This window comes from Homo sapiens, chromosome X (assembly GCF_000001405.40).
Source record: "Homo sapiens chromosome X, GRCh38.p14 Primary Assembly".
Taxonomy (NCBI): Eukaryota; Metazoa; Chordata; class Mammalia; order Primates; family Hominidae; genus Homo; species Homo sapiens.
The window spans coordinates 112626531-112652976 of NC_000023.11; the positions used below are offsets into that span (position 1 = coordinate 112626531).

The 26446-nt window shown below is 41.0% G+C and overlaps 1 protein-coding gene across 5 annotated transcripts in view, besides 2 other annotated features; it reads right to left on the reverse strand.

Moving 5' to 3' along the window:
• LHFPL1 (LHFPL tetraspan subfamily member 1) overlaps positions 4118-26446 on the reverse strand; it is a 49291-nt gene continuing 26962 nt past the window's right edge. For all 5 annotated transcript variants that reach the window (XM_011530946.3, NM_178175.4, XM_047442082.1 and 2 more), the window contains one exon: positions 4118-5071. In XM_011530946.3, coding sequence (XP_011529248.1) covers positions 4890-5071 — 182 coding nt within the window. In that variant the 3' untranslated portion in view covers positions 4118-4889. The remainder of the gene's footprint in view (positions 5072-26446) is intronic.
• Positions 15018-15067: an enhancer, noted in NCBI's record as "active region_29862". NCBI's record gives its function as "activates an Ori minimal core promoter by ATAC-STARR-seq in GM12878 lymphoblastoid cells {active_cell/tissue: GM12878}" and the evidence as "EXISTENCE:reporter gene assay evidence [ECO:0000049][PMID:35858748]".
• Positions 17536-17585: an enhancer, noted in NCBI's record as "active region_29863". NCBI's record gives its function as "activates an Ori minimal core promoter by ATAC-STARR-seq in GM12878 lymphoblastoid cells {active_cell/tissue: GM12878}" and the evidence as "EXISTENCE:reporter gene assay evidence [ECO:0000049][PMID:35858748]".

Below are 26446 nucleotides of genomic sequence, written 5' to 3' on the forward strand. Positions count from 1 at the left end.
AGAGGGGGAGGAAGGAGAAGAATACAGCATTGCCATCAAAACCTAGCATTTTGTCTCCCCCTACTTCTGCCTCCTAACATATCAGCAGCTCTGTATAATGAAAATCTAAATTATTTGTGTGCACACATAGCAACTGTTTATTTGCTGTTAGCTTTGAGGACTCAGTGGGGGTTTGACGAGTTTAGAGAAGAGATCTGGGAGATCTCCCTGGGAGAGCCAAATCTCAGAAGTAGATGAAAAAATGAAGCTTAAAATGCATTTCTCTACATCTGACAGAGAGGCCAGTAATAAGTATCTTTCAACTCCAGCCTCACTGCAGCTCAGAAAATACTCTTTAACCAAGGACACAAGGTAGCTATGATTCTTTGGAAGAGCCCTGACTGCTGTCTACTAAGAAAGCTTTACTGGGTATGGCTGGAGATTGATTGTGAGTTCTAGAAATAGCACACCTTTCCCCTCAAGCCAACAAGTAGGATGCCTTCCATCCTTTACAAAATATATTCAGTATTAGTTTTCTTGAAAGTTCCATTTTTCCCATCACTGGGCTTCCTAGGGACCAAATACCATCTTGAAACTACTTTAAATTAATACGAATGTTTCTACAGAGAGTGAATACCAGACTCAGAAGAAAGTGTCCCCATCATATATTGAAGGAGCTAGACCTTTCCTTAGTACAATTTGTTTGACAAATTTATAAAGCCTCTGCTTCCCAGAAGCTTCCTCATTCCCTCATCCTCACAGGGTTTTCCCTCATCCAGCCAAGGCTTCGTATTGCCATCTACTCTTGCATAAGCCAGAACTCCTTTCCCAGAGACCAGAACCTTTCCATCTTGGCTCAGGTCACACGCTCGCTCCCGCGAGGCAGAACCCACTGCCTGGAAGTCACTAGCAGCTGTAAGTGAATGAAGGAAGCTACTCCTCTGAGAGCAGAGGTAATGAGGTGTGACATTAGAGAGACAGCACCACTGAAGACATACCCTAGTGACTTAACACTTGCTAGCCCAGGTGTAGAAATTTCAATCCTCTAGACACAAAAGCATGCCAATTGGGAAGTTGTTGCCCATCTGAGATTATTTTCTGAAAGGAGTATCTTGCAAAATGGGCTCTTATGAAATACTAAATGGACTGTGAGTTAGCCCAGATGAATCACCTCCTATCTCTCACCCCTCCCCAAGATCTAAGTGGTTCCAGGGTCAGAATGGGCCCATAGTTAGGCACTCGACCTGCATGCCCAGGTAAAGAACATGACAGCCAGCTAGGCATGGGACAAACTGCAGAGTCTCTTAGGTTCTCACTTCATTCATTCAGCCTCCACCTGACCCATGGACTCTCCTTCCTTTCTGTACAATAGCAGCCCAAGATGCAGATTTAGCTTCTAAGTTTGCTCCAGGCCATGGGGAAAAGAACCAAGTCTTGTCAGGCGTCTATGTAAAAACAAGGCCTGGCAGGAGGCAGGAAAGAAACCAGACATAGGCAAGGAGGAATTTTAATTCGAATTGAACATGGGGCTAGATACCTCTTTGAATATAAGCCCCTGAAGACCTGGTTTCTTCACAGAAAAAAATATATATATATCTTTTAAATCCAGTTTCCTTTCATTGGAAAAGAGGAGAAAACATTCCAACTTACTTCACCTGCAACTAACTCCTCCAAGGTGATAGTTATTTAAAGTGTTCTTTCAAATTAACCCCTTCCTCTTCAGTCTCCTTTCCAGGGTCCAATTACTTCACAGTGTGTTTAAGCATCTGGGCCATGGAGGAAAGCAAAGCATATACTTCCTGGGAAGCAGTGCATAAGGCAATGGCATTGTCTGGTGGCTAAGAGCACTCACTGAAATGTTATTTTCCATTGGCCCCTCATAACCCCAATCCCAAGCTTCATTCTCCACCCTTCCCTGCCATGCTCTGTGCCAAAGGAGTCTGACCTCAATGGGCTATTGCAACAGGCTTCTTTGCCAGCTGCCATTTGGCTGGGTCTGGCCAATGATAGGCACTGGCAGGAGATCAAAGAGTGGAAAGAGAGTGAGATATGGGTGTTCATTCCCCTCTCTCCCTCCTTACTGCATTTGGGCAGAGACTACATTGTGCTACCTGAAGCAACAGCTCCTGTGAGGCAGCCCCTCTTGTACATGTGCAGTGCTTACTGGGTGCCAATAACACTGTATCTTCCCTTTGTCCTTTCAGTGTTAGGAGTAATAATAATAACAGCCCCTCACTGTTCATAGTCTTTCTATGCCTCACAATCACTGGTAAGTTCCCTTAACCCTGCACACGCCATCATAAATTGTCCCTTCACTAAGCTCATCTCAGCTAAACTCCTTGAGTATACCATCTGTTTCTCAGCAGGATTCTGACTTATACACTCACTTTGACAAAGTCTATCCTACAGAATTCCAGAAGGTTGCCTAGCCTGAAAAGAGAGATCACCTGATCCAACTACCTTTTCTGAAGTGAGCTATCTGCCTTTTCTCAAATATTTGACATATTCTCTATACAGTGGGTCCTCCTAAATTAAGGTTACATTATTGTGTCTACACAATAAAACTGAGGTTTAAGCTAGTTGCATTTTTGTTTTAGCTGTTCTTAGTCATCTTTCTTAAAGAAAGGAGATGCTGCAAACACATTACATTGCTTCCTTCCCAGTGAGGTATGTTCAAGTTGGCCTTACCTTAAACACTTAATGCAGTTCCATGAGGGATATAATACTTGACATGAATTCAATCACCAGTTCCCTACCACCTGTTATTCATCTTGCATTTGCCATCTTGATGATAGGAGTCGCCCACATACCGGAGTGGTCATCCCAAAATTTTCACTTGCCAATACCTACACATATCCATTAGACAATAAATCCTGTGGCATGTACTTCCTAAATATCTTCTTTCAAATTCATCCATCTGCTCCAGCCTCACAATCACTACCTTCCTCCAGGCCTTGACCATTTTATAGCTAGATTATTGAAATATCTCTAGTTCTCCTTGTCTTTTCTTTCATTCTCCTCACTTTAGCCAAACTTATCTTTGAAAGCTACAAGTTTGTTCATGTCACTTCCCTTTCAATGACCCTTCTTTAGGATAAAATTCAAACGCCTTATTCTGGAGTAAAAGGTCCCACAGAATCTGGCTACTACTTCCCTTTTCAACTTCAGCTTTTGCCACCCCTCTTTTTACACCCATATGTCATTCTAATGCTGTCTCCATGACTTGGGTGCCATCATTGCTTGTCTCGTGTACTCTTTACCTTTTCTAACAAAGCTCCTGCTATTCATCTCTTGGACCCATCTTCTTTGCTAGGATGCTTTCCCATGAACCCTTTCATGCCAAGTTGGTTTAATGGCTTCTCTGTGATCCTTTAGCTACTCTTCTTCACTTTTCTAGCACTAAATACACTGACGAGTACTTATTGACATGTCTCTCAATACCTCACCACTATCCCTTTTAAGGTGAAAAACTGTCTTTGTCCTTTTATCCCCAGAACTTAGCACAGAATCTGTCATAGAGTAACATGCTCAAGAAATGTTTTCTAAATGAGTGACTCAATGAATGAATCAACTATAGATGGAGGAAGCATTTAAATTCACTTACCTATGTAAAGCCAATATAAGAACTCTGACCTCTCATGAGATAGCATATAACTTATGAAGCCAGTTTTTTTCTATTTTCTATCCCTCTAGGTAGTGCTGTACCAAAACCATGCTGGAATTATTAAGAATAGAAACAGATGAGCTGGCCTTTTGAATCACAGGCCCTCCCCATTCCCTAAAGCTGTAGTTACGGAACAATAGAGCTGGCCTGAATTAACTGGGGGGGAGGAGCGAGACAAAGTCTGCCCCCAGGAGACACCAAGTTCTTCTACACCATCCATCGACCTTGAGCACAGATGGGATGGAGTCCAGGCCTAAAAATACATCAGCCCTAGGTGACATCAGTGCTGTGTTCTTTTGTGGCTAACTCGCCCCAGATGGAGGAGAGATCATTTGATGAACAGTCTTTGAAACAGGCAGATGAACTTATGTCACATTAAGAGTGACTATAGGGGGTAAAAGGCCACTGTGGATTTCCTAGTCAATAAAAATGATCTCTGATAGAAATTTCAATAAGTATCTAGCAGAAACATCCTTGTCACTGTCACCATGAATTTAAATTTATTGAGTGCCCCACAAATGCTAGTCTATTCTCAGTACATTTGATGAACACCATTTCTTTATCTCTAAAGGATGAGAGAATATTTGCTACTATATATTTTTTTTGCTCATCACCCAGCCAGAATACAAATGGAACTCCTATGAATATTCTAAAGCATAATGAGGAAGGGGCTCCAGGCTAAATGCAAGTATCCTTGATTAATGTTTTCCCCACCACTGGGAATCACCCTCCCCCGCTCCCCTGAAGCTTCCCCACAAGGTGCGGGGGGAAGCAGGAGAAAAAAAGGAAGAGCCAAGGTATACTCCTGATAACGACACAAAAATTGAGCAGTAGTACTCCAGAGATGTTTGGGGGTGACAATAAATACTTGGGAATGAACTGATGAACTGTGTGAATGGAGTGGTAGGAACCAGCTCTGCCCATCTCGTGCTCCCTCCCTGCACAACTATTCTTACCCAGCCTTAGCTTTGGATCCTATTTTGCATAAAGGGGTACTTTGGGTCTTCGGGTTAGCACGACTTGCCAGTTGGGTAAATGTCTGAGAATGTTTCCTCTGATGAATTTTATAAACAGCCAGTGACCTACTGGCTTAAAGATAAGTGAAAATGAACGACAATTAGTTTAAAAAGCATGCAAACACTAGGCTATGCTAATGACAGTCAGATGACAAATGGCCTAATCCTTAGTACCTCTTTTCAGGGCTCCCTCCTCCCCTTTCCCACCCTCTCCAATCTTCTTTCAAAGCTCAAGGTTTGAGGCAATGGTCAAGCTCCATAGCATAAGAATTGGTATTCCTCATGATGCTCTCCACCAATATGACAGGCTTGGGGTTTCTTCCAGCAAAGCAAGAGAGCCAGGTGCAGATCAACATGGCTGCAGCTGCTCCACCTCCAGCACAGTAATAGGCCCAGCCAAGCCGACAGGTACCTGTGAGAACAGGGACAGAGAATGAGGATTGGGTTGTCTTTTCATATTTTCTCTTTGGTAATGAACTATAGAAATGATTCCAGAAAGTACAGTTTTTATACATTCTCTTTGGGATGCTATGGTTAGGGTGAGAATAGGAAACAGCGAATGTCCCTGGGCTTCCTATTTTCTTCTTTCCTTCTGTGCTGACTGCTGATCTTTGCTTCAGCAAGAGGTTGTAAGATTTTATTTTTTTGTTAGAGTAGGAGCCTGGGGGTGGTATGGGTGGCAATGCTAATGACAATGATGACAAGAACAACTTGATAAGATGTCAAGCATTATGCTAAGCTCTTTAAACATATACCTCATTGATCATTACAGTAATTATATGAGATAGGTACTCTTATTATCCCTGTTTTACAAAGGACGAAGCAACTGAGGCACACACAGCTACAGAAGATGAGGCAACTGAAAACCACACAGCCGGCAAGTGGTAAAGATACAAATGCTGACTCATCCTAACTTCAAAACTCCACACTTTGAACCACAGTGATAGAATACTGTACATGGGCTGCCTGCATCATCAGGGGATTAGACAGGTAAAATAAAATCAACTCCCTCTTACATCATGTCTCTATCCTAACCTAGCCTTTCAACACCCAGGAAAGCAATATGCATTGGAATCAAAGCCAAGCTTTGAAGTGGGTAGTTTTCTCTTTAAAAGGTAATGGGAAAGGTCACCTGCTCAAAAACATCCACCCCGCCACCTGCTATTCCATCAGAGACAGGTTCCTTTGTCTGAAAGATTTGTGACTTTTCAGCCATCCTTCAGAAAATGTCAATGCCTAGAAAAATAAGAGCTATTACTTTACAAGGTATCAAAGTGGCTAACTGCTAAAATAAAGTGCTTAAGCAAACAGGACTCCAGAAATTATGGTAGGGTCCCAGTGATACAAAATTGCAGAGAGTCCCTGAGAAGAGAGATAGGCAGCAACTTTCACCTATCTCTCTCTATCTAAATCTTGAAGAAAGTTAATCCTGACTACAGTCAGTGGAGGATGTCAAGATTGATCTGTATGACAATTTATTTTTTAAAGGCTAAATTCAAATAACTAATTATTTATTTTCACATACTACCTGGTGAACCTTAATTTTACTGCTTTTAGTTGATTAGTTGGTGTCTCCTAGAAAGAGTCTAAGATGGGCCCAAGCTTGGCTGCTTCGCTTTCCCATTCAGGCCAGCCTAATTTATCCCCACATTTCCCATCTCAGAAATAAAATAGTCTACCACCAAGTCATGTCTCATGCTGTTTCTCCTGCCAGAAACATCTTCTCTCCTCTTATTCACCAATTTATAGCTTCCTCAGAACACTATCCAGAACTTGGCACCTGCTTGAAGCCCTCCCTTGATTCACTCCGCTGGGCTCATGTCACCTCAACCAGGTAGCCCTCCCGGAATGTATCCGTATACTCCATTGACAGATGTACCTGCTGGACAAAATATTGGGAGAAAGATTTACATTTCACATTTTTTTATCTGCCCTTTCCTCTCTTCCAGATTGCTGGCTCAATAGTACAGATGCATTTGTTTCTTTTCGTGATTATGCTTTCATGTGCTCTATCCACTGTGGGTACCATTTCAGTATGTGTGATTTAGCCTAACAGTACTTCAAAGCTGAGGACATTGGCATTTTCAACCCTTAACACCTAAAACTATGGCTTAAATTTTGAATTAAAGTTGAAAAACCAGCGAATATAGTATTTTATTTCTTTCTGGAATGTGCCCTGATCCCTTGTACTTTAAGGCTTATGCACATTCTGTTTCCTTTGCCTAAAACATTCACTGCATGTGCACGTGTACGCATATACTTTCCACTACTTTCTTTACTTAGTCAATATTTAATAATTCCTCAGAACTAAACATAATCATTAATTCTTCAGTGAAGTTTTCTCTGACCTTCCTAAGTCAACTTCCCTCATCAGAGGCTCTCACAATACCATGTATCCTTCCTTTCTACTTGAATGGGTGAATGGATCCCTTATCCCCTCTTATGACCAGTGTCAAGTGTTACAGTCCTTCAGAGGAAATAGTACTTTACCAATAGACCTGGGCAGTCTAAAGTTCCTGAACTCCTGTGGTCCCACCCAAAATCATGGTGAAAGCCCAATTACAGCAGCTATGAAAATAGTGCCTCTGAAGGCTCAGAAAGAGCAAATTTGAAAGAGAAGCCTCCTTTGAGAAAGGAGCTCAACTATCTCCAAAGTAGTTTAAACGTGAACAACAATGGTGGACTCTCAAGACAGTAAACTGAAGAATACCATATAGAGACAAGCAGCCTGTAGAGCTGTATCCCCTCCTTGTTGCTCCTCCCCCTGGACACACACACACAAACACACACACTCCCTGGTTCACATACACAAAGTAGGAAGGTTTGAAAAATGTTTTGGAATTCACAGAGTGAAAACTCCAGAGACTGGAAAACCTTCAACTTCTGCCATCAGTGGGAAGAAGACTGCAGACTTTATTGCACCTACTTCACAAACCATAATATGAGGCTCCGGTGATAGCCCTGGGAACTCTCTCAGAAGCAGAGAGGTAGAGGCAGAAATCCAGACCAAGTGTCTTTACTCCCAATTCAGTGCTCTGCCCTCTGCAGTTTTGTTTTCATCACACCCAAAAGCATTTTTCTCTTACAGGGCCCTTGACCTGTAAGCCCTAAGGAGGGGGGGCTCCTAAGTCAAGTTGTAGTAGACTCACCTGAGCTTCTCTTCTAACCCCCTTCAACAAAAATCTCCTGTAGTCACCTGGCAGAGCAGACAGGAGCCAGCTCTGAGGTGGGCCCATTGCCAAGCAACTTCATCCTCCCCAGCTTATTCCAAATCTAGTCTAGACAAGGCATCAGAACTCTCATTCTGTTTCTTCAGCTGCTTGTCAGGTCATCCCCTCATTTGAGTAGCAAGGATATTTCTATTAGGTACATGCCCCATGGGATCAGGGAAAGACTCATTTCTCTGAATGAAGAGAATAAATGCATAGCATGCCATTAGCCCAAAGCCCTAGGCAGGAAGAAAACTGACAGAGTGGTCAGCTCCAGAGTGAAGAGCTGGCTAGAAAGGCCCCAATAAACCTCACTGAAGTCAGAACCAGGTATCACTGAGCTAGGAGCCAACACTAAAGTGCTCCTATTGCCACCCCAAGTGCCTTGTGAATTCCCTCTCACAGAAATTTCTGTTAGACCTCTGAAGGCATCTAAGCCCCAGACTGCTGTCATAAAGGAAACTAAGGAGAAAGAGGGGAAATGTATCTTCCATCCACATCCCTCCCCACAACTCTACCTGTTATCTACCGGAGGAAAAAAAGAGATTATATTCATTGGCACTGTAAAAGAAAAAGAAAAAGCAGACCTTTTAAGAACTACCTTACCATTTGGAAAGCCACTGTCAGCACTCAGTTACTTCACAGAAAACTTGCATGCTGATCTGATGGCCCACTGAGGAAATCGTCTATGGAAGGGTGCAAAAGTAGGGAGCAGGTGGCAATGAGTTGCCATATTTTGCCTCTTGTTGCCTTTTAGTGAAGTCCTATGGACCATCATCCATTCCCAAATCCCATTATTTAAACTACTATTGATCCTTATTTTCATCTGACAAACATGTATTGAGTACCGACTATATGCTAGGCATTTTTAATACACAATCTCATTTAATTCTCATAACAGCCATGATTATTTCCATTTACTGCTCAGGGAACTGAGTTTCAGAAAGGTAAATGACTTGGCCCACTTATAAGTGTCAGAATTGCAATTTGACTGCCAGACCTAACTCAAAGTTCATGATTATCCATTTCAACCATGCTAGGAGAATGAAACCAAGAACACAAATTACTACAGTCCAAGTCTTGCGAGAATATACAATGCCTTCGGCCAATTACTTCACCTTTCTGGACCTCAGTTTCCTTTACTTTCAGTGGAAGGATTTACTGAAGAGAATCCTAAAAGCCCCTTCCAGATCATATTTTCTATTGTAGTATGAATATGATAAGTGCTTTAAGAGATATATTTGTAAAATACTATAGGAATATCCAGGGAAGGAGGAATTATTTGCAGCTGGGAAAATTTGAGCTCAGGTAAGCCTTTGTAGATGCTACATTTCATCTTGGCTTTAGTAGTAGGAAGTGGGCATTCTAGGCAGAGGGAGTGGTTGGCGTGAGCAAAGTTATGTGAGTGAGAAAGCACATGACATGTTTCAGAGAAAGCATAACATTCAGAGCTGTTTCCAAAAAGGAGCTATAGTTGACAAAATAATAAACTGAATCTACACCAGGAGAGGCCATGAAATCTGTCATCTTTCCTACAAGCAGTGTGAAACAATGGAAAGTTTCTGAGCAGGGAACGATACGCTAGAGCAAGGTTTCTCGACCTTGGCGCTATTGACATTTTGGGTTGGACATTTACTTGGTGTGGGGGCAGGGGCAGGGGGCGGTTTTCCTGTACACTGTAACACCCTGGCTTCTACCCACTATATGTCTATAGCAACTTATTCTTCCTCCCCACCAAGTTGTGAAAACCAAAAATGTCACCAGACATTGCCAGATGTCCCCCGGTATGAGGGGAGGTTGCTTTCTATTGAGAACCACTAAGTTAGAGGTATTGCCTGGAAATATTAACCTGAAAGGTCTGTGTCAAATAGATTGGAGGCAAATGGAGGATATAGACAGAGAGAGTTACCAGAGGTCACGGACACTGCTACACATCCAACAATACATAAAAGAGTTCTCCACAACAAAAAATGATCTGGCCAAAAAGTGTCGATATTGTCTACGTTGAGCAATCCTCATGTAGACAAACACCAGATATTTATACTTTAAATTCTATTCAAAATAAATCTTGATGACTAAAAGATTAGCCCAACAGAATGGAATTTCCTCCCTTAAGAACGGCCATGCATGGTTCCTTCTTGACCTGGGAAGCAGACTGGGACTGAGGCATGGTCAGTCTTGAGCATTCTAGTATGTTACCCCATGGAAGGCAAGGGAAGCTCAAGGGGAGAGATCTCACAAGGTATTGAGGAGGAAGCACTGATTCCCTGGGAGTAAGGAGACAGGATAAATATTTGAATAAATGTTTTAACTCCACCAGGTCTCAGCTCTTTAACCCTTAAAATGTGGAAAAATAATTAAGTACCTGGCTAAAGACGTCACATTAAGACCAGATGCGTCCTTAAAGTCCCTTGAGAAACACCAAACTAACTGCTTCCTTGCCTTCAGATTAAATGCACTGACTCTACTTCCACGCTAGAATTGTTTAAAAGTCTGTGTCCTTAGAAGATACTGCAGGGAGATGACATCACACCTAGAAATTTTCTCTATATCCATGCATGGGTGTCTGTGAAGAGAAGGATCGGTGGCAGGATAGGGGGAGAAAAGAGGTTCTAACTGCAAATGAGCTTTATGCAAAGCTTCTGGATGAGCCCTGAGATAAGCCTATTCCTTTTTGTGCTCTTCTGTATCATTTCTAACACTCTATCTGTGAGTCACTGAATTCCAGTGTTGAATTTGCTGTGACAGAATCTCTCATACAAGTTATTAAATCATCACTCAGCAGTGGGCCTGACATTTAAATCAAGACACGTTGCTTTTATTCCAAGTTGCACATCAAATTGGATTGGAATTTGACTCTGTTTCCTTTGATTCAGCACGATGTTATGTTTTACAGCTCACTGTTTAGAGATAAATTGTCACTGGCGGCCACTTAAACTGACCACCCTCCCTAGAGCCGCAGTCCTATGCCCTTCAGGGTTGTGGTGTCTGGCTAGCTGTCAATGGGTCATGATGAGCTATGGGGAGTTAGCCCCAAACCAATGCTTGTGGTGGGATCTAGCATTGCTGTGGGCATCAAAATTATGGACCGGAGTGAGTCAGAATCTGATAGAGTGGCTCCCCCATTCAGGGAGCATGTGCAGAATGCCAGCTTAGAAGCCAAGAATGCTGGAGAGTGAATCCAAAAAAGGAGTTCTCTTTGGAGGAAGAAGGAAACAATGTTGAAAAGAAAGGGCATAAAAAGAGAATGAGGTAAGTCTGTCTTTTGAGTGAGTTGAGTCTTCTCTTTCAGAGAATCATCTGATGAAATTCCAGGCTCCTGAAAGGTTGGAGGAAGAGTCAGGGAAGCAGGGATATAGCAAGCCCATAATGACAACTAACACCTCCAAAACTGAATAGGGCTAGATGAAATGTAATGGAACCTTCAGATATATGAAGATTTAATTTCGCACAAGTGTTGCCAACAGTCATGTTCTGAGAGCTGCTACTGTAGAAGGAAAAAACAAGCATGCTAGGACCCCGGATTATGGTAAGAAGTGTTGGATATTGGTGTGGCAGGGGAGAGGCTCATGAAGATGGGGTAAGAATTGTGAAGTGGTTTGGAGTTTCAGGGTCAGGCAAGAAGGGAAAAATCCATTTGGACAATGTGAATAGTTCAAGGGTGTAGATTGTATTCCACCAGAAAGATAAGATCCAAATTCTAGGAATTATTGGAATTAGAAGACTGGAGGGTGTTTCAGGTAAGGGGCAAAGAGAACAATATTAGCATTTGTTTTTTCGTCTAATATACTCCAATAATCAGGAAGTTTAAGAGACACTGCCCTGGCCTTAGATAGGCAAAAGAAGGGAAGGAATGACACCAAGGATAGAGAAGAACCTAAAATGGGAACCTGCATATCATCCTCAACTTCACCACCCAGTGTAGAGGAGCAGGACAGATATACAGAGAAATCTGCCTGGGAGTGACCTGGGGGCCTTGATGGCTTTCACAGGCTTCCACATATCAAGCCAGGTAGCCTATAGTGGCCCTGAGGACAAAAACCTCAGCTACAGAGAAGCACCTAGGAATCCTTTGGAATTTGATAGAGTAGGGTGTGAGGGGAAGGAATAGAGAGAAATCAAAGAAGAGAAAGGGACTAAAGGAGAATCAATGGGGTGGGTGGAAGATTAGAACAATAGAGATACTAAAGGAGAGTTGATGGGGTGGGTGGAAGATTAGAACACTAGACATAGAGATCATGGCACATGGAGACTGATGGCTGGGGAGGGTTAAGCTTTTACAGACCTCTTCCTATTGAGGGTATTATTTTTTTCTGAAAATAATAAAACAAGTTCAGGAAATAATAAACAAGTTCAGGAAATAATAAACACAGTTCAGGAAAGCCAGCTGTTCTTCTCATCATTGTGGCACCATCTAAAGTCATGAAACCAGGTAACAACCCATCTCCCAAACTACCGTTTGGTACACATGGTAGGGTAAGGGAGGGGTGGTTGCTATTTGCTGACTCAATGCATTTTTGCCATGAAGACCTGAATTTTATGTTAGCAAGAAAAGTAGGGGTTTGGAAGGAGCTGGTGGTCCCATCTATTCAGAGACATACTGCTGACTTTAGGGTCTTTATAGGTAGCAACATAAAAACATTTTTAATGCAGCCAAGCTAAATGAACAGAGAACTTTCTCTGCTAGGTTCAGCAAACACAGATGAATAATCCACAAAGATAAAGCAAAGCCAACGAATTCAAGAGCAATTGCCAAACACCCTACCACCCCCACCCCGGCCCCCAGTAAAAAGACAGCCAAAGCTATGAGAACATCTCTCTTCTCACTCTCCAAGCTGGGCGTGAGTGTCAACAGCAGCCCAGATTGGAGGCCCAGAACCTACTGAAGATTCCAGAAGCCTGCCAGGCTCCTTTGCCAGAGAAGAAGAATAAAAAACAACCCACTGAAAACTTCAGTTGTTCAGGTAAATATGTTATTGTGAGTAGCCACTGACTTTTTGGTCCAGTCAGGTCTGCTGGAGGGGTAGGACATTCTGGGTTTTCAACTTCATCACGGTTCAACCCAATGTTCCAAAGGGTAAGGGAAGACCAGGACACTTGCTAGAAAGTCCATGGGAGTACTCAAAGAAGAGCCAAGTCCTCATGACGACAGAAATGCCCTGATTTGGCTGATTTTTCTTTTCTCTCTCACACACTTCTGCCGAACAAATTGAGTCCTTCGATTAAAATCTTCCTCGCCACTATTGAGCATTAGCTTCCGACCTTTCCTCATGTTTTGCCAACCTGTATTGCTTATTTATATCACTTTTCATATAGCTATCCTGAGTTTTAGCTACTCTGCTCATCTTCCATGTCTCAGGCCAAGTTAAATTGTGCTTCTAGGTCTTTCTCCAGATTTACCTTTAGCTGCCTCTGAAAAACACTTCTGGGTCACCCCGTGTTGCCTTTTATACAGCCTGTCAGCTACACCTGGAGCAGATTCTCAGAAGAGCTTTGGGCGCTCTCCTCAAGGAGACGGGTTAAAACCCATCTGACCAAATATTGGATGTATTCGATTCAGCGCTAGCTCTTGAGGACACTTAGCCTCTAGGAAATTGGTTCCTCTCCCCTAACATCTGCTCAGTAGTCCTCTGCTTGCTTCCACTTGAACTTTCTCAGCTAAATAAGTCAGTTACTGGAATAGTAATAGCTAATATTGGTTAAATGTTTCTATATGCCAGTCACTATAGTAAGCTCTGTAAACATATTGTTTTCTCATAGGTAAGATCAACAAACTAGATGAGTGAAAGGGAGCCAGAAGCAGAAACGGGACAAGGAAATAGACTATTAGTGTGACAAGCGCTCCGATATGGACTGCCACAAGGATATAGGTGAGAGATATCAAATCCAGTTGAAAGGAGCTGGGGAGTTTTCAGGGAAAAATAAGAAGTTAGCTAGGTAAGGAAGGGAAGAAGGGCATTCCCAGCAAAGGGAGTAACACATGCAAAGTTGCAAAGGGGTGGAGGAACATGGTATTTTCGAGGTGGCTGGGCAAGAGAAGAAGACAGGGTGGTGATGGAAGTGATAGCCAGAGTCCCTGTAGGCCTTGCTAAAGAATCTGGACTTTATCCTGAAGGCAATGGGGAACCACTGCTAAAGAAGGATAATGACATCAGATTTGCATTTTAGAAACATCAGTTTGTCCACAGGATGGGAGATAGATAAAGGCGTTGATGTGCAGTACCTTTGTGGAACAGGGAGAGAGAGAGTCAGGGGCTATTTTCAGTAACCTAGATGAGAACTTACATAAAGAGAAGGAAGATAGATTCTAGAGTTCTCATTGTGTGTCTTAGCGTAACAACAGTAATTTACTCCTTCTGACGACACTACACATTTGTGATTGACATCATTATGGCTGCTTTTGTTAGATTCCATCTGTGTGTGTGTGTGTGTGTGTGTGTGTATGGATCATGTCTCCTCAAATTAACTACAGGCTTGTTGAAGACTATATCCTTAAATTCTTTGTAGTTTTTACAATGCCTTATTCAGCATCTTGAATACAGTGAATGTTCAGAATATGCTTTTTGAGTGACTGTTATTAATTTTTGACATAATCCTTGAACATTCAAGAATGCTAGAAAGCCAGACCCAGTGAGCTGATTTACCTCAGGACTCAGAAGTGCATGTTCCCTCATTCTAGCCATTAAATTAGCCCCATACCAGCAATGCCAGCTTTGAACATTAGCTATTTCCATCCATGCTTTATCAGCCAACGGATATACACCACAGAGACTTTTCCAGGTCCAAGGTTCCTGGGTAATGACAAATGCCACAAATAATACCACCCAATATGAGTTTAGTACTTTATCATTTTTAAGGTATTTTGTGATCCATTATCTCATTTATTTATTTTTCATTTGTTTTATTCATTCGTCAAGTCCCAGCCAGAGGCAGGAATTATTATAGAGGAAAGAATCGAACAGCCAGATAAAGTGTCTGACCAAGGTCCCCACTTAGAGAAAATAGAGACTGAGCCCAGGTCTGTGTGTGCTCAGGAAGTCAGTGTGGTACAGGGAGAAGAGTCTGGGATGAGAGTTACAGGGAACTGTGCTAGAAATCACGTCCTTTCACAAAATGAACCTGTGAGGCAAGCCATTTCTCCTTTCTGTGTTTCAGCTTCTCCGTGAGTAAAATGGAAGTGATACCACCTATCTCACAGAGCAGCTCTGAAGGCCAAAAAGATGACACATACAAAGCACTTAGCACCATGCCTAGAATAATTAATACTTCTCAGATCCTCTTTATCTCAGCTCAACACACTCCCAACTGGTCCAACAAGTTCCCAAAAGTGTCTGAGAGAGCTGTAAAATACAGATTCCTAGGCTCCACTCCAGATCTACAAAATTAGTATGTCTGGGGAGAAGGCCCAGATGATTCTGATACACATTTCCATGGGGAACCACTGGATAGGACCATATCATTAGCCCACATCAGTCTAACTTTCAGAGGAAAAGCAAGAGGAATCCACATTTTTTGGAAACCTACACTGTGCTTGATGCAGTGCTAGCAGCTTTCACTTGAAAGATACATTTGTCTCTTTCTCATAATTTCTCACAGTTCACCAGGGTGAGGCTAGGTGACAATGATTTGAAAAAGTTATATGACACAGAACACAGATATAACATATATTTTCATCCCTGTAACTCTAGCCTCGCCAGGGAATTGCTCCTGGGATTACAGTTGACCCTAGTTTTCCTCCTGGTTCCTGCGTTTGAAACCCATTTCACTTTATTAAAAAACCTTCTATATTGTCCAACCTATACTAATAACAATAGTAATACTATCAGTTAATGTCAGGCCAAGCAGCTCATGCCTGTAATCCCAGCACTTTAAGAGGCCGAGCTGGGCAGCTTAGATGAGTCCAGCAATTTGAGACCAGCCTGGGCAACATGGTGAAGCCCCGTCTCAACAAAAAATATTAAAAAAAATAAATAAAAATTTATATTTTTTGTTGAGACGGGGCTTCACCATGTTGCCCAGGCATTAACTGGAAGAAACAGAAACAAGGAATTAAGTGTGTTCACATTCTTTGATCTAAGGACTAGAGGCAGGACTGAGAAAGCAGCAGAGAATGAATTCACCTGACTTTACTGCCATCGTGTGGTCGTCTCATGCATAGACAACTGGCTCACAATTCTGCATTCATTTTTCCAGTCATTGAGCCTACTAGGCCCTCTGCAAGGCAATGTGAAAATAAGGCCAATTGAATCAGAAGACCTGACCTTGAGGCTATTGTAACAGCCTTGCTTTCCTCTGGAGTCACCAAGCTGGAAGTCACCTTAGTCACCAACTACTCCAGGGGTGAGCACCTCATTCTCATGCAGACTATGTCAGAAAAGATAGAAATGTTTATAAGCACCGTCATTATTTTTCTATTCAAAATGAAAGTAGCTTAGTGGCCTATGGGATGTATAGAGTCTCATTACTTTAAGCACCTCACTATTTTTAATAGAAGATGATCAGTGAGAAAATCTAATGGTAAATTAGCTTTCTAATCTGTTATGCCTTGTACCTGTAGAGCATTGTTTTCATAAAGCACATTTATCTGCATGTTGTCATGTTATGGCCAAAACAATTTTGGAAGGTAGGTATATTAGTCCATTCTCATGCTGCTATGAAGAAATACCTGAAACTGGGTAATTTAAAAAAAAAAAAAAAAAAAGCCGGGCGCAGTGGCTCACGCCTGTAATCCCAGCACTTTGGGAGGCTGAGACGGGTGGATCACGAGGTCAGGAGTTCGAGACCAGCCTGACCAACATGGTGAAACCCTGTCTCTACTAAAAATACAAAAATTAGCCGGGCGTGGTGGTGCATGCCTGTAATCTCAGCTACTCAGGAGGCTGAGACAGAAGAATTGCTTGAGCCTGGGGGTCAGAGGCTGCAGTGAGCCGAGATCGTGCCACTGCACTTCAGCCTGGGCTACAGAGCCAGACTCCGTCTCAAAAAAAAAAAAAAAAAAAAAGAAAAAGAGGTTTACTTGACTCACAGTTCCACATGGCTGGGGAGGCCTCAGGAAACTTATCATCATGCCAGAAGGCACCTCTTCACAGAGCAGCAGGAGAGAGAATGAGTGCAAGCAGGGGAAATGCCAGATGCTTATAAAGTCATCAGATCTTGTGAGACTCGCTTATTATCATGAGAACAGCATGGGGGAAACTTTCGCCATGATTCAGTTATCTCCACCTAGTCCTGCCCTAGACACGTGGGGATTATTACAATTCAAGGTGAGATTTTGATGGGGACACAGAGTCAAACCATATCAGTAGGTATTATCATCCTCACTTTAGTCGTGGGGAAACAGGTTTAAAGAAGTGAAATTACTTATCTATGGTGATACAGTCAGATAGCAACAGAGCCACCCTACAATTTGTTCGTTCCATTCAGTGCAACACTGAGCATGCCAAGCACTACGGACGTGCGGTTGAAATCATGTCCTGTCACAAACTTAACCTCTGGGGCAAGTCATCAAACCTTTTTGAGTTTCAGCTCCCCATGAGTAAAACAGAAGCGATACCAACTACCTCCTCACAGAGCAGCTGCTTAAGTTGCCTTTTAACTGACTGATTCCCCCACTGCCTGCTCCAGCTCAGCACAGCTTCTTCTCTGGCTGGATACTCCTCTCTGTGTGGGCTAGATGGGCAACTAAAAAATCTTAAGCAACACCTAAGCCATGGATTTTCAAGGACTGCCTGCCAGGGCATTCTAGCTGATGCTGCAGGAAAATTGTGAGGGGCGGATGGCCTCCTATGGATGAGTTGCTTTGGACAATCCCTTTGGCCAATCTCTGGCCCCTCCTTCCATGGGTGGGTATTACTTTCTTTTTTTTTCTTTTCCTCTATAACTTAATCTTGATGGGGTGGGTATTACTAAAAAGCTCCTCTCCTCTAGAAGGGATGCCTTAAGTAGATTGCTTTAGTTTTTATTGTACATTTTTAACATATACAATATGATGTTTTTATATACCTATAGTGAAATGATTACTACAGTCAAGCAAATTAGCATATATTTCTCCTGTTTGTGTGTGTGTGTGTGTGTGTGTGTGTACACATTAAGAGGACCTGATATCTGCTCTTCTGTTATTTAAATACAAAATAGGTAGACGTGAAATTAGATCAAAGACCTCACCATAAAAGTAGGCATATCACAACACAGGGAGCTAGGCATGTATCTGGGGCCTCTGAGTACTTATCGATCTAGTCCAATGCTCTCTATGTGAAAACAAGGAAACTAAGGGTCAGAGTGCCAAAGTGAGGTGCCCAGGCAAGCTTAGGAAAATCAAAACCCAGGTGCCCTGATACCCTGGCCATGGTTGTTTCTACCACACTTTGATGCCCTGCTATGGGCATGGAAATGTATTAGACTGCTTCTTTGTGCTGTGGTGAGCACAAGAAAACAAACTGTCCATAAAGAAGGAAACTGACAGAAAGAAAAGGTAACAGGAAATGCCTGGAAACTGAACCCACAAAGGTCAAACCCCAAGTCACCATAAAAGGCTTTGAACTGGCAAGAATGAGCAGAAATGATGGGAGAGCAAAGGAAATGAACCTCCAGGAGAGGAAACACAGGGAGCACACACATGGCTTTTGGGTAGCCTCTACTGCAGGCCTTTGCCAAGTGTGTGTTGGAGGGGGTCCCTCCTTCCCTCCCAGAAGCCAAGTCTGGGGCATCCCCTCCAAAAAGGCTCTTGAGACCTAGGCTGCTACTAATAGCAAGTTACATATAATGCAGCCTATTGTGCTTTGTATGTGTCTATACTTCACTTAATCTTCTCATTAACCCTACGGAGAGAAATACTATTACCAATCCTCATTAATGGAGGCTTGCACAACTTGTAAATGGTAAGGCTCATATTTGAACCCAGGTCATTCTACTATTAACCTGTGCATTTAGCCTTCATGCTGCATATACTGGCTCCTTGCTGTAATAGGTCCTTTTTCTGAAAACTAAAGTACTGGGAACATTTTTATTTTAACAACTGGTATCAGGATGATGATGATGATGATGATGATATCAGATATCAACTATTGACTGGTTACTATGTACCAAATACTATACTGTATGTATTGCATGCATTATCTCATCTAATTCTCACAACAATCCATGAGGTAGTAACAAACTCACAAATGCTGAATAATTTGCCCAAGGTCACAGAGCTAAGAATGTAGCTATGCAAAAGCCCGGTCTTACAACTAGGCAATCTATGCCCAACCCTCTCTTTCAATTAGAGGCTTGATGAAGAATAGCATCAATTTAGAATTGGACTTCTCAAGAATTCATCTGTGTGGCATCAAGTCCATAAAATCTTCATTTGATGGCTGGAGTTCAATTAACAAGCAGCAAAGCATTTTTCTCAGCTTGAATTTTTCATTTATTTAATAAAATTAAGGTATATGAAAAGCATTGCACTTGACAGGGCTGTTGCAAGGAGCCTTTACCTGTTTTCTCCCTCTTGTTGAATGGGTGATTCATTCAAGAAACAGATACTGGGTTGCCATTAAGCAGCATCTACCGTATACGTGGGAGTAAGGAAACTAGTCCTAGGTCACTAGTTGTGGGGCCTTCAGAAAGTCACCTGCCCTTATTTGCCCCACTGACTGATCTCAAGGTCCCTCTCAGTTTAAGTTTCAGTGCAGGTTCCCGGTTAATGTTTGTTCATTTTCTGTTTTAAATATTTGGCTGTTAGTTTCTTCTTTAAGTGAAGAAAAGAAGTAAAGGAGTCAATTTCCTAAACTGTTCAACTGAAGACTCTGGTGGGACAGGGTCAGGTACATAATTTTCCAGGAGGGTAGAGTGGACACCAAGGGAGTCCCGGGACAGCAAGGGACCTGGAAGAAGGACTGGAAGACACAAGAGAAGAACCTGGAAACAAAACAGGCAATGGAAGGAAGGAGGTCAAACTTTCCTGGTTTGCGGGGGGAGGGGGGGTGCGGGGGCTGGTAGATTCTTTTTGCAATTGTACGGTTTTGTTTTCAAGGCTGTATCTTCCCCAAACCCCCTCCAATCTTTCATCCTCCCTATCCCCCAAACACATACCCCAGAAGACCAGAGAGAGGCCCTAGATAAACTGTATATAATCTTAGAACATGTGGAACACAAAAATTTTTGTAGATCTTTCTTATTTGATTGACTTTAGCAGGACCATTTAGGTTCCTTTATTAGTGCAAGTCAAATCTAGAGGCATTTAAGAATTTCCCATATATATTCATTCCAATGGGGATCTCTTTCAGAATCCCATCAGGTCCAGCCACTTCCTGATTTATGTTTAATCTGATTATACTAAAAGATTGATGGGGGACTGGGGGTGGAGATAGGGGTTGAGGTGGGGAGACAGGATGCATCACTAGGTACTTTCCATGATGTTTCAGACATTTGTTTCTGAAAACAATAGAGCTGAAGTGTATCCTAAAGAAAAAAAATTCTCAAATGACTCAAGACATACCCTCACCAATGGAGAGGAAAAAAGTCATTGTAGCACACAGGCAGTGAGTTAGAAGATAGGCTCCATTCATTATTCTGCCTTTAATTTGCTGTGTGACCTTACACAAGTCACTTTAGCTCTCCATCTCAGGTTTTCCTCATCATAAAAATGGCATATTACTGTCAGCCATGGTTGAGTTTTTTAGGGTCTTATTATATTGTGTTCATGAGAACATGTTGCGAATGTGATCCATTGATGGACAATACAGACATTACCCTAGAATTAAGTGCTATTTATAACACGACAGTTTTATAAGCTTACTTAAAAGCAGCTGTGTCTCATTAGAGACCTGGAACCATAAAAACCCTAGAAGAAAACCTAGGCAATACCATTCAGGACATAGGCATGGGCAAGGACTTCATGACTAAAATATCAAAAGCAATGGCAACAAAAGCCAAAATTGACAAATGGGATCTAATTAAACTAAAGAGCTTCTGTACAGCAAAAGAAACTATCATCAGAGTGAACAGGCAACCTACAGAATGGGAGAAAATTTTTGCAATCTATCCATCTGACAAAGGGCTAATATCCAGAATCTACAAGGAACTTAAACAAATTTACAAGAAAAAAAACAACTCCATCAAAAAGTGGGCAAAGGATATGAACAGACACTTCTCAAAAGAGGACATTTATGCGGCAAACAAACATATGAAAAAAAGCTCATCATCACTGGTCATTAGAGAAATGCAAATCAAAACCACAATGAGATACCATCTCACACCAGTTAGGATGGTGATCATTAAAAAGTCAGGGAATAAACAGATGCTGGAGAGGATGTGGAGAAATAAGAACACTTTTACACTGTTGGTGGGAGTGTAAATTAGTTCAACCATTGTGGAAGACAGTTTGGCAATTCCTCAAGAATCTAGAAACAGAAATACCATTTGACCCAGCAATCCCATTACTGGGTATATACCCAAAGGATTATAAATCATTCCACTATAAAGACACATGCACACCTATGTTTATTGCAGCATTATTCACAATAGCAAAGACTTGGAGCCAACCCAAATGCCCACCAGTGATAGAGTGGATAAAGAAAATGTGGCACATATACACCATGGAATACTATGCATCCATAAAAAAGGATGAGTTCATGTCCTTTGCAGGGACATGGGTGAAGCTGGAAACCATCATTTTCAGCCAATTAACAGAGGAACAGAAAACCAAACACTGCATGATCTCACTCATAAGTGCTAGTTGAACAATGAGAACACATGGACACAGTGAGGGAAACATCACACACCGGGGCCTGTTGGGGGGTGGGGGGCTAGGGGAGGGATAGCATTAGGAGAAATACCTAATGTAGATGATGGGTTGATGGGTGCGGCAAACCACCATGGCACGTGTATACCTATGTAACAAACCTGCACGTTCTGCACATGTATCCCAAAACTTAAAGTATAATTGTTAAAAAAGAATATCCTTAATAATGTGGTTTAGGGACAGATGGCCATACAAAAATAACCAAGTTTACCAAAATGATGGTTAAAATGCCACATTTCTCTGAACATTGTCACTGAGCAACAGGAGTGAAATTCAAGATTTTTATGTCCTCTTCCTCAGAACTAAAGAGTAAAGGAAAATAACAGTATAAGAATCAGCTAAAAAAAATCTGTTTGCTGATCATTTTATTTTAATTAAACTAAAGCTTTAACATAGGAATATTTTGACTTCTACCTTAATAGACTAGAACTTAAAGTATTAAAAAAAACAAACTCACAAAGCTGTGTTCTCTTTTCCCCTATGCTGGACAAAATAGGACTTCTTAAATTATTTTATCTTCCACCTTTTTCATCTGTAAAATAAAAATTTCAACATTAAAAAAAGAAATTTATGTATTTATTTATTCTCCAAATATTAATGAGGACATTTATTATGGACTCTGTGTTAGGTATAGAAGGTATAAGTTGAAACATATTATTTTTATCTTGCAATCACAACCTAGTCTCCCATACCTTGACAATAGATTGACTCTATTACCAACAAATAGTGCTTTCAATAATAGGAAGTAGTAAATATTGTTCAACAAGGGACCAAGTTCTCTACTAAGATACTTCTCACTTCTTGCATGTACAGTGTTATTTTCTTAAGCTAATTTAATATAAATGAACCCATATTTAAAATTAAAATGTATTCTTACTTTAGCTCCCAATTGTTTTAAAGCATACTTCTTTTTTTTTATTATACTTTAAGTTTTAGGGTACATGTGCACAACGTGCAGGTTAGTTACATATGTATACATGTGCCATGTTGGTGTGCTGCACCCATTAACTCGTCATTTAACATTAGGTATATCTCTAAAAGCATACTTATTTTTCATTTGCTTTATATTTGGACCAGGACTTTCTTATATATTTTTATTGCATGTTTGTTTACCTGGGCATTTCTAATCTTCTTTTTATCTGTCATCTGACATTTTCCTATTCACAAATTATCCTAACCTTTCAGTTAGAATTTCTCCTTCTTCAAGACTCCCTTTTCCTTAGCAACCTTTTCACTGAAGGCCATAAGCCTCCTCCAATTGTGAACAATTGCCTTCTAATGTGTTACAGAGGCTTCATTCATGCTATTCTTCAAAGATTTGCACACTTTATGGTTTCCTGGATTACTTGCCTTCCTCTTTTGGGATTTATTCTCTCCTTTGACTGTAATATATCTTCCAATATTCCCCTATGAAAAATACACGAGAGATAAATGTTATGTGGCCTTCCATGTTGAAAATCTTCATTATTTTATTTTACTTGAATGACAGTTTTTCTGGGTATAAAATTTTAAAAGCATTGTACCTTTTTCATCTAGCATCCATTGGCTTTGATAAAATATATTATGCCAGAATGATTTTGTTATTTATATGTATTTTGTCTTTTATAACTTTTTTCTTCTCTACAAGTTTTTAAGGTGTTCTGTTTAATGTTCTGAAATTTTGTCATAATATGTATATTCATGAATCCTTTTATTCTCATTGTGCAGAGTAATCAGGGAGGCCTTTTATGTTGCTGGACATGACTTCTCACATCCCTTTTTTCATGTGTGGAACAAATAAACATCTAGTTTTTTGTGAAAAAAAAAAAAGTATATAGCTTCTCTAAGTTTTTAGTGGGACCTATTTGGGTGTCCCCTGTCTATATGCCATTGGGTATGAAAGAATTTTCTAGTGGTGTGTGGATTTAAGAGGATTTTGAAAATCTCATCAAAGTTGCAATTAGTGTATTAAGAAATCACTTGAAATATCTGTTCAGGGTTCTTACTTAGATTTCTTTATAATACAGTAGAAAAAAAAATTCCTCCTCATTGCACCCTCGGTTTCTCAGAGACTTTGCTTTTTTGCATCATTCTCTCTCCACTACAGGATCATTCCCATCAGCATCCAAGCATTTGGTCATCTTAGAAAAGGCCTTTCTTCATCCCGCATTCTCCTCCAGCTGCTGCTCACTTTCTCTGCTCTCCTTCTTAGCAAAATTGCTTGAAAGAACTATCTACACACATTGCCTTCATTTTCCTCATCTTACAATACTACCAGTATCTGTAACTCCAAAACTTCTCTTCTAGGTCACCTTTGTCTGACTGACTGCAATGGTCACTTCTCTGTCCTCATCGAGTTTAATGCAGCAGCATTAAACATAGTTGGTTACACCTTCTTTTTTGACATACATTTTTCTCTTGGCTGCTGTGACCCCCACATTCCTGATTTTCTTTTTTATGTTTCTCTGGCTACCCCTCTGAGTCTCCTTAGTAAGTTTCTGTACAGAGAAGCAACTAACAGCACAGACTCTCTCAAGTCGTGCTGTCCAATATGGTAGCCACTAGTCGCATTGTGCCTATTACACTTAATAAAATTACATCAGATTAATTAATAAAATTAGATATTTATTTAATAAAATTAAAAGTAACAATTCAGTTCCTCAGTCCCATTAGCCATATTTTAATTGTTCAACAACATGTGACTAGGAACACATGAGACAGCAACACACAGAACATTTCCATCATTGCAAAAACTTCTGTTAGATGGTGTTGCTTAGATCAGACTTCTATCTGCCACTCCACAGCTGAATGACCTTAGGCAAGTTACTTAATCTCTCTTAACCTCAATTTCCCTTTCTGTAAATGAGGCTAATAATATCTTCTTTATAGATTGTGGCAAAGATGTAATGAGCTCTTGTATGTATAGTGAGTGCCATATAGGAGTTCGCTATGATTGCCCAATCTTTATACATGAAGAATTTCCCATTACTTAGACTGGGCTCTCTTCTCTTCTCACTCAACTCTTTCTCCCTAGCTAAATTCATCTTGGATAAGTCTCTTTACCTTTCTGTGAACTTCTCATCCTCATGATAAGATGAAGATAATGACAGCACCTATTTCACTTGGTTGCTGTGAAAATTAAATGAGATGATACATATAAAACACTTGGAACATTGCCTGGCACATAGGTCATAGTCAGTAGGTGATAACCACTGTTAGTATTACAATCCTCTTTCCCATTACTTTAAACATCATCTATGTACTAAGAACTCCCAATTTCTAAACTCAAGGTCAGAGACCTCACTGAGCTCCAGACTGCTTGCTTGACATCTCCACTTGGATTTCTCACACAGGTATCTCCAAAACCTATCTAAAACTGAGTTTCCTTCTCTTTTCTCAATCCCAGCCACAGTTGCTTCTCCTCTAGTCTTCCCCATTTTTGGACATCTCTTCCATACCCATATCAAATCTATCACCTGTACAATTGATTACACTTTAAAATATATTTTGAAACAGCCTACTTTCCCCAGCTCCACTGTCACCTTTGCAACCCTCATGTCTTTGCCTAGACTATGGCTCAGCCTCCTGACTGGCCTCCTGCTTCCACTCTCGTCACCATCCCCATAGCCATTCTCTACAACACTGCCAGAGGAAACTTCCTAGAATAGAAATCATATCTTATCTCTTTTCTTCCTCAAACCCTGCAATGGTTTCTCATTGCAGTTAGGATAAAATACAAAGTCCTTATATTCTGACTAATGCCTACGTCTCTGAGATCATCTATTACTCTTCCCATTACTCACTCTTCTGATTCAGCAAAACTGGCCTTAGAGTAGTACCCAAATACAACATGTGCTTTCGCACATTAGAGCCTTTATAGCATTCTACTTCTTTGTGTGGAACTCTCTTCTTCATGTAGTTCACTTGGTTAAGCCTACCCACCCTTCAGGTTTCTTCTTAAATCTTACCTTCTTAGAGAGGCCTTCTCTAATAATCCTCTAATTTAAGTCAGATGCCCCTCTAGAATTCTCTCACCAAACCCTGTCTCTTCCTTCATATCATTTATCAACACTAATTAGACACCATCAGAACATCTACCATTTTTATAACCACCGAAGTTCCTTCCCTCCTAGCACAGTGCCTGCCTGCGAGTCAGAAAGCCTACGGTGTGTGATCTTGGCAAGTCCTTTTCCAGGCCTCAGGTTTCTTGTCTTTACCTTGAGGAGGTTGGATTAGATTTATTTGCTCAATAAGCCTCTGTTGAATGTGAAAAAGGACACACAAGGTCTGGGCCAACATGAAGCTTACATTCTAATAAGGAACACAGGTAATCAAATAAGCAAATCTAATAATTATATATTGTGATTAGTGCTACAAAAGACACCAAAAAGATGTGTGATAGAAAAGTATGATGATGGGGGACTTTGAGGTGGTGACATTGAAGATAAATGATAATAAAGAACCAGCCAAACCCAAATGATAGCTAAGATCTATTTTGTTTGGACATTCTATGATTCTGTATAAAATATGCCACACATAGCTAAATATGCCAAGCATCATAAAGGAGGGAGCTGCCTCATTAAAGCTGGCACCAAGGGCTTTGTGCTATCAGTTGAGGTATATGAGAGTCTTATTCTTCCTCTCAGGATAATGTCAGTAGATGAAATCAACCTGACAGAATAGTTTTAAGAAACCAGTATGGTAATGAATTTAACGTTCATAGCACAATCACCATAATAAGTGTATACAACATTTTTAAGACCTCCAAATTCAAGATTGTAGTTACTTCTGGAGGCACAGAGATGTAATTGGGGCA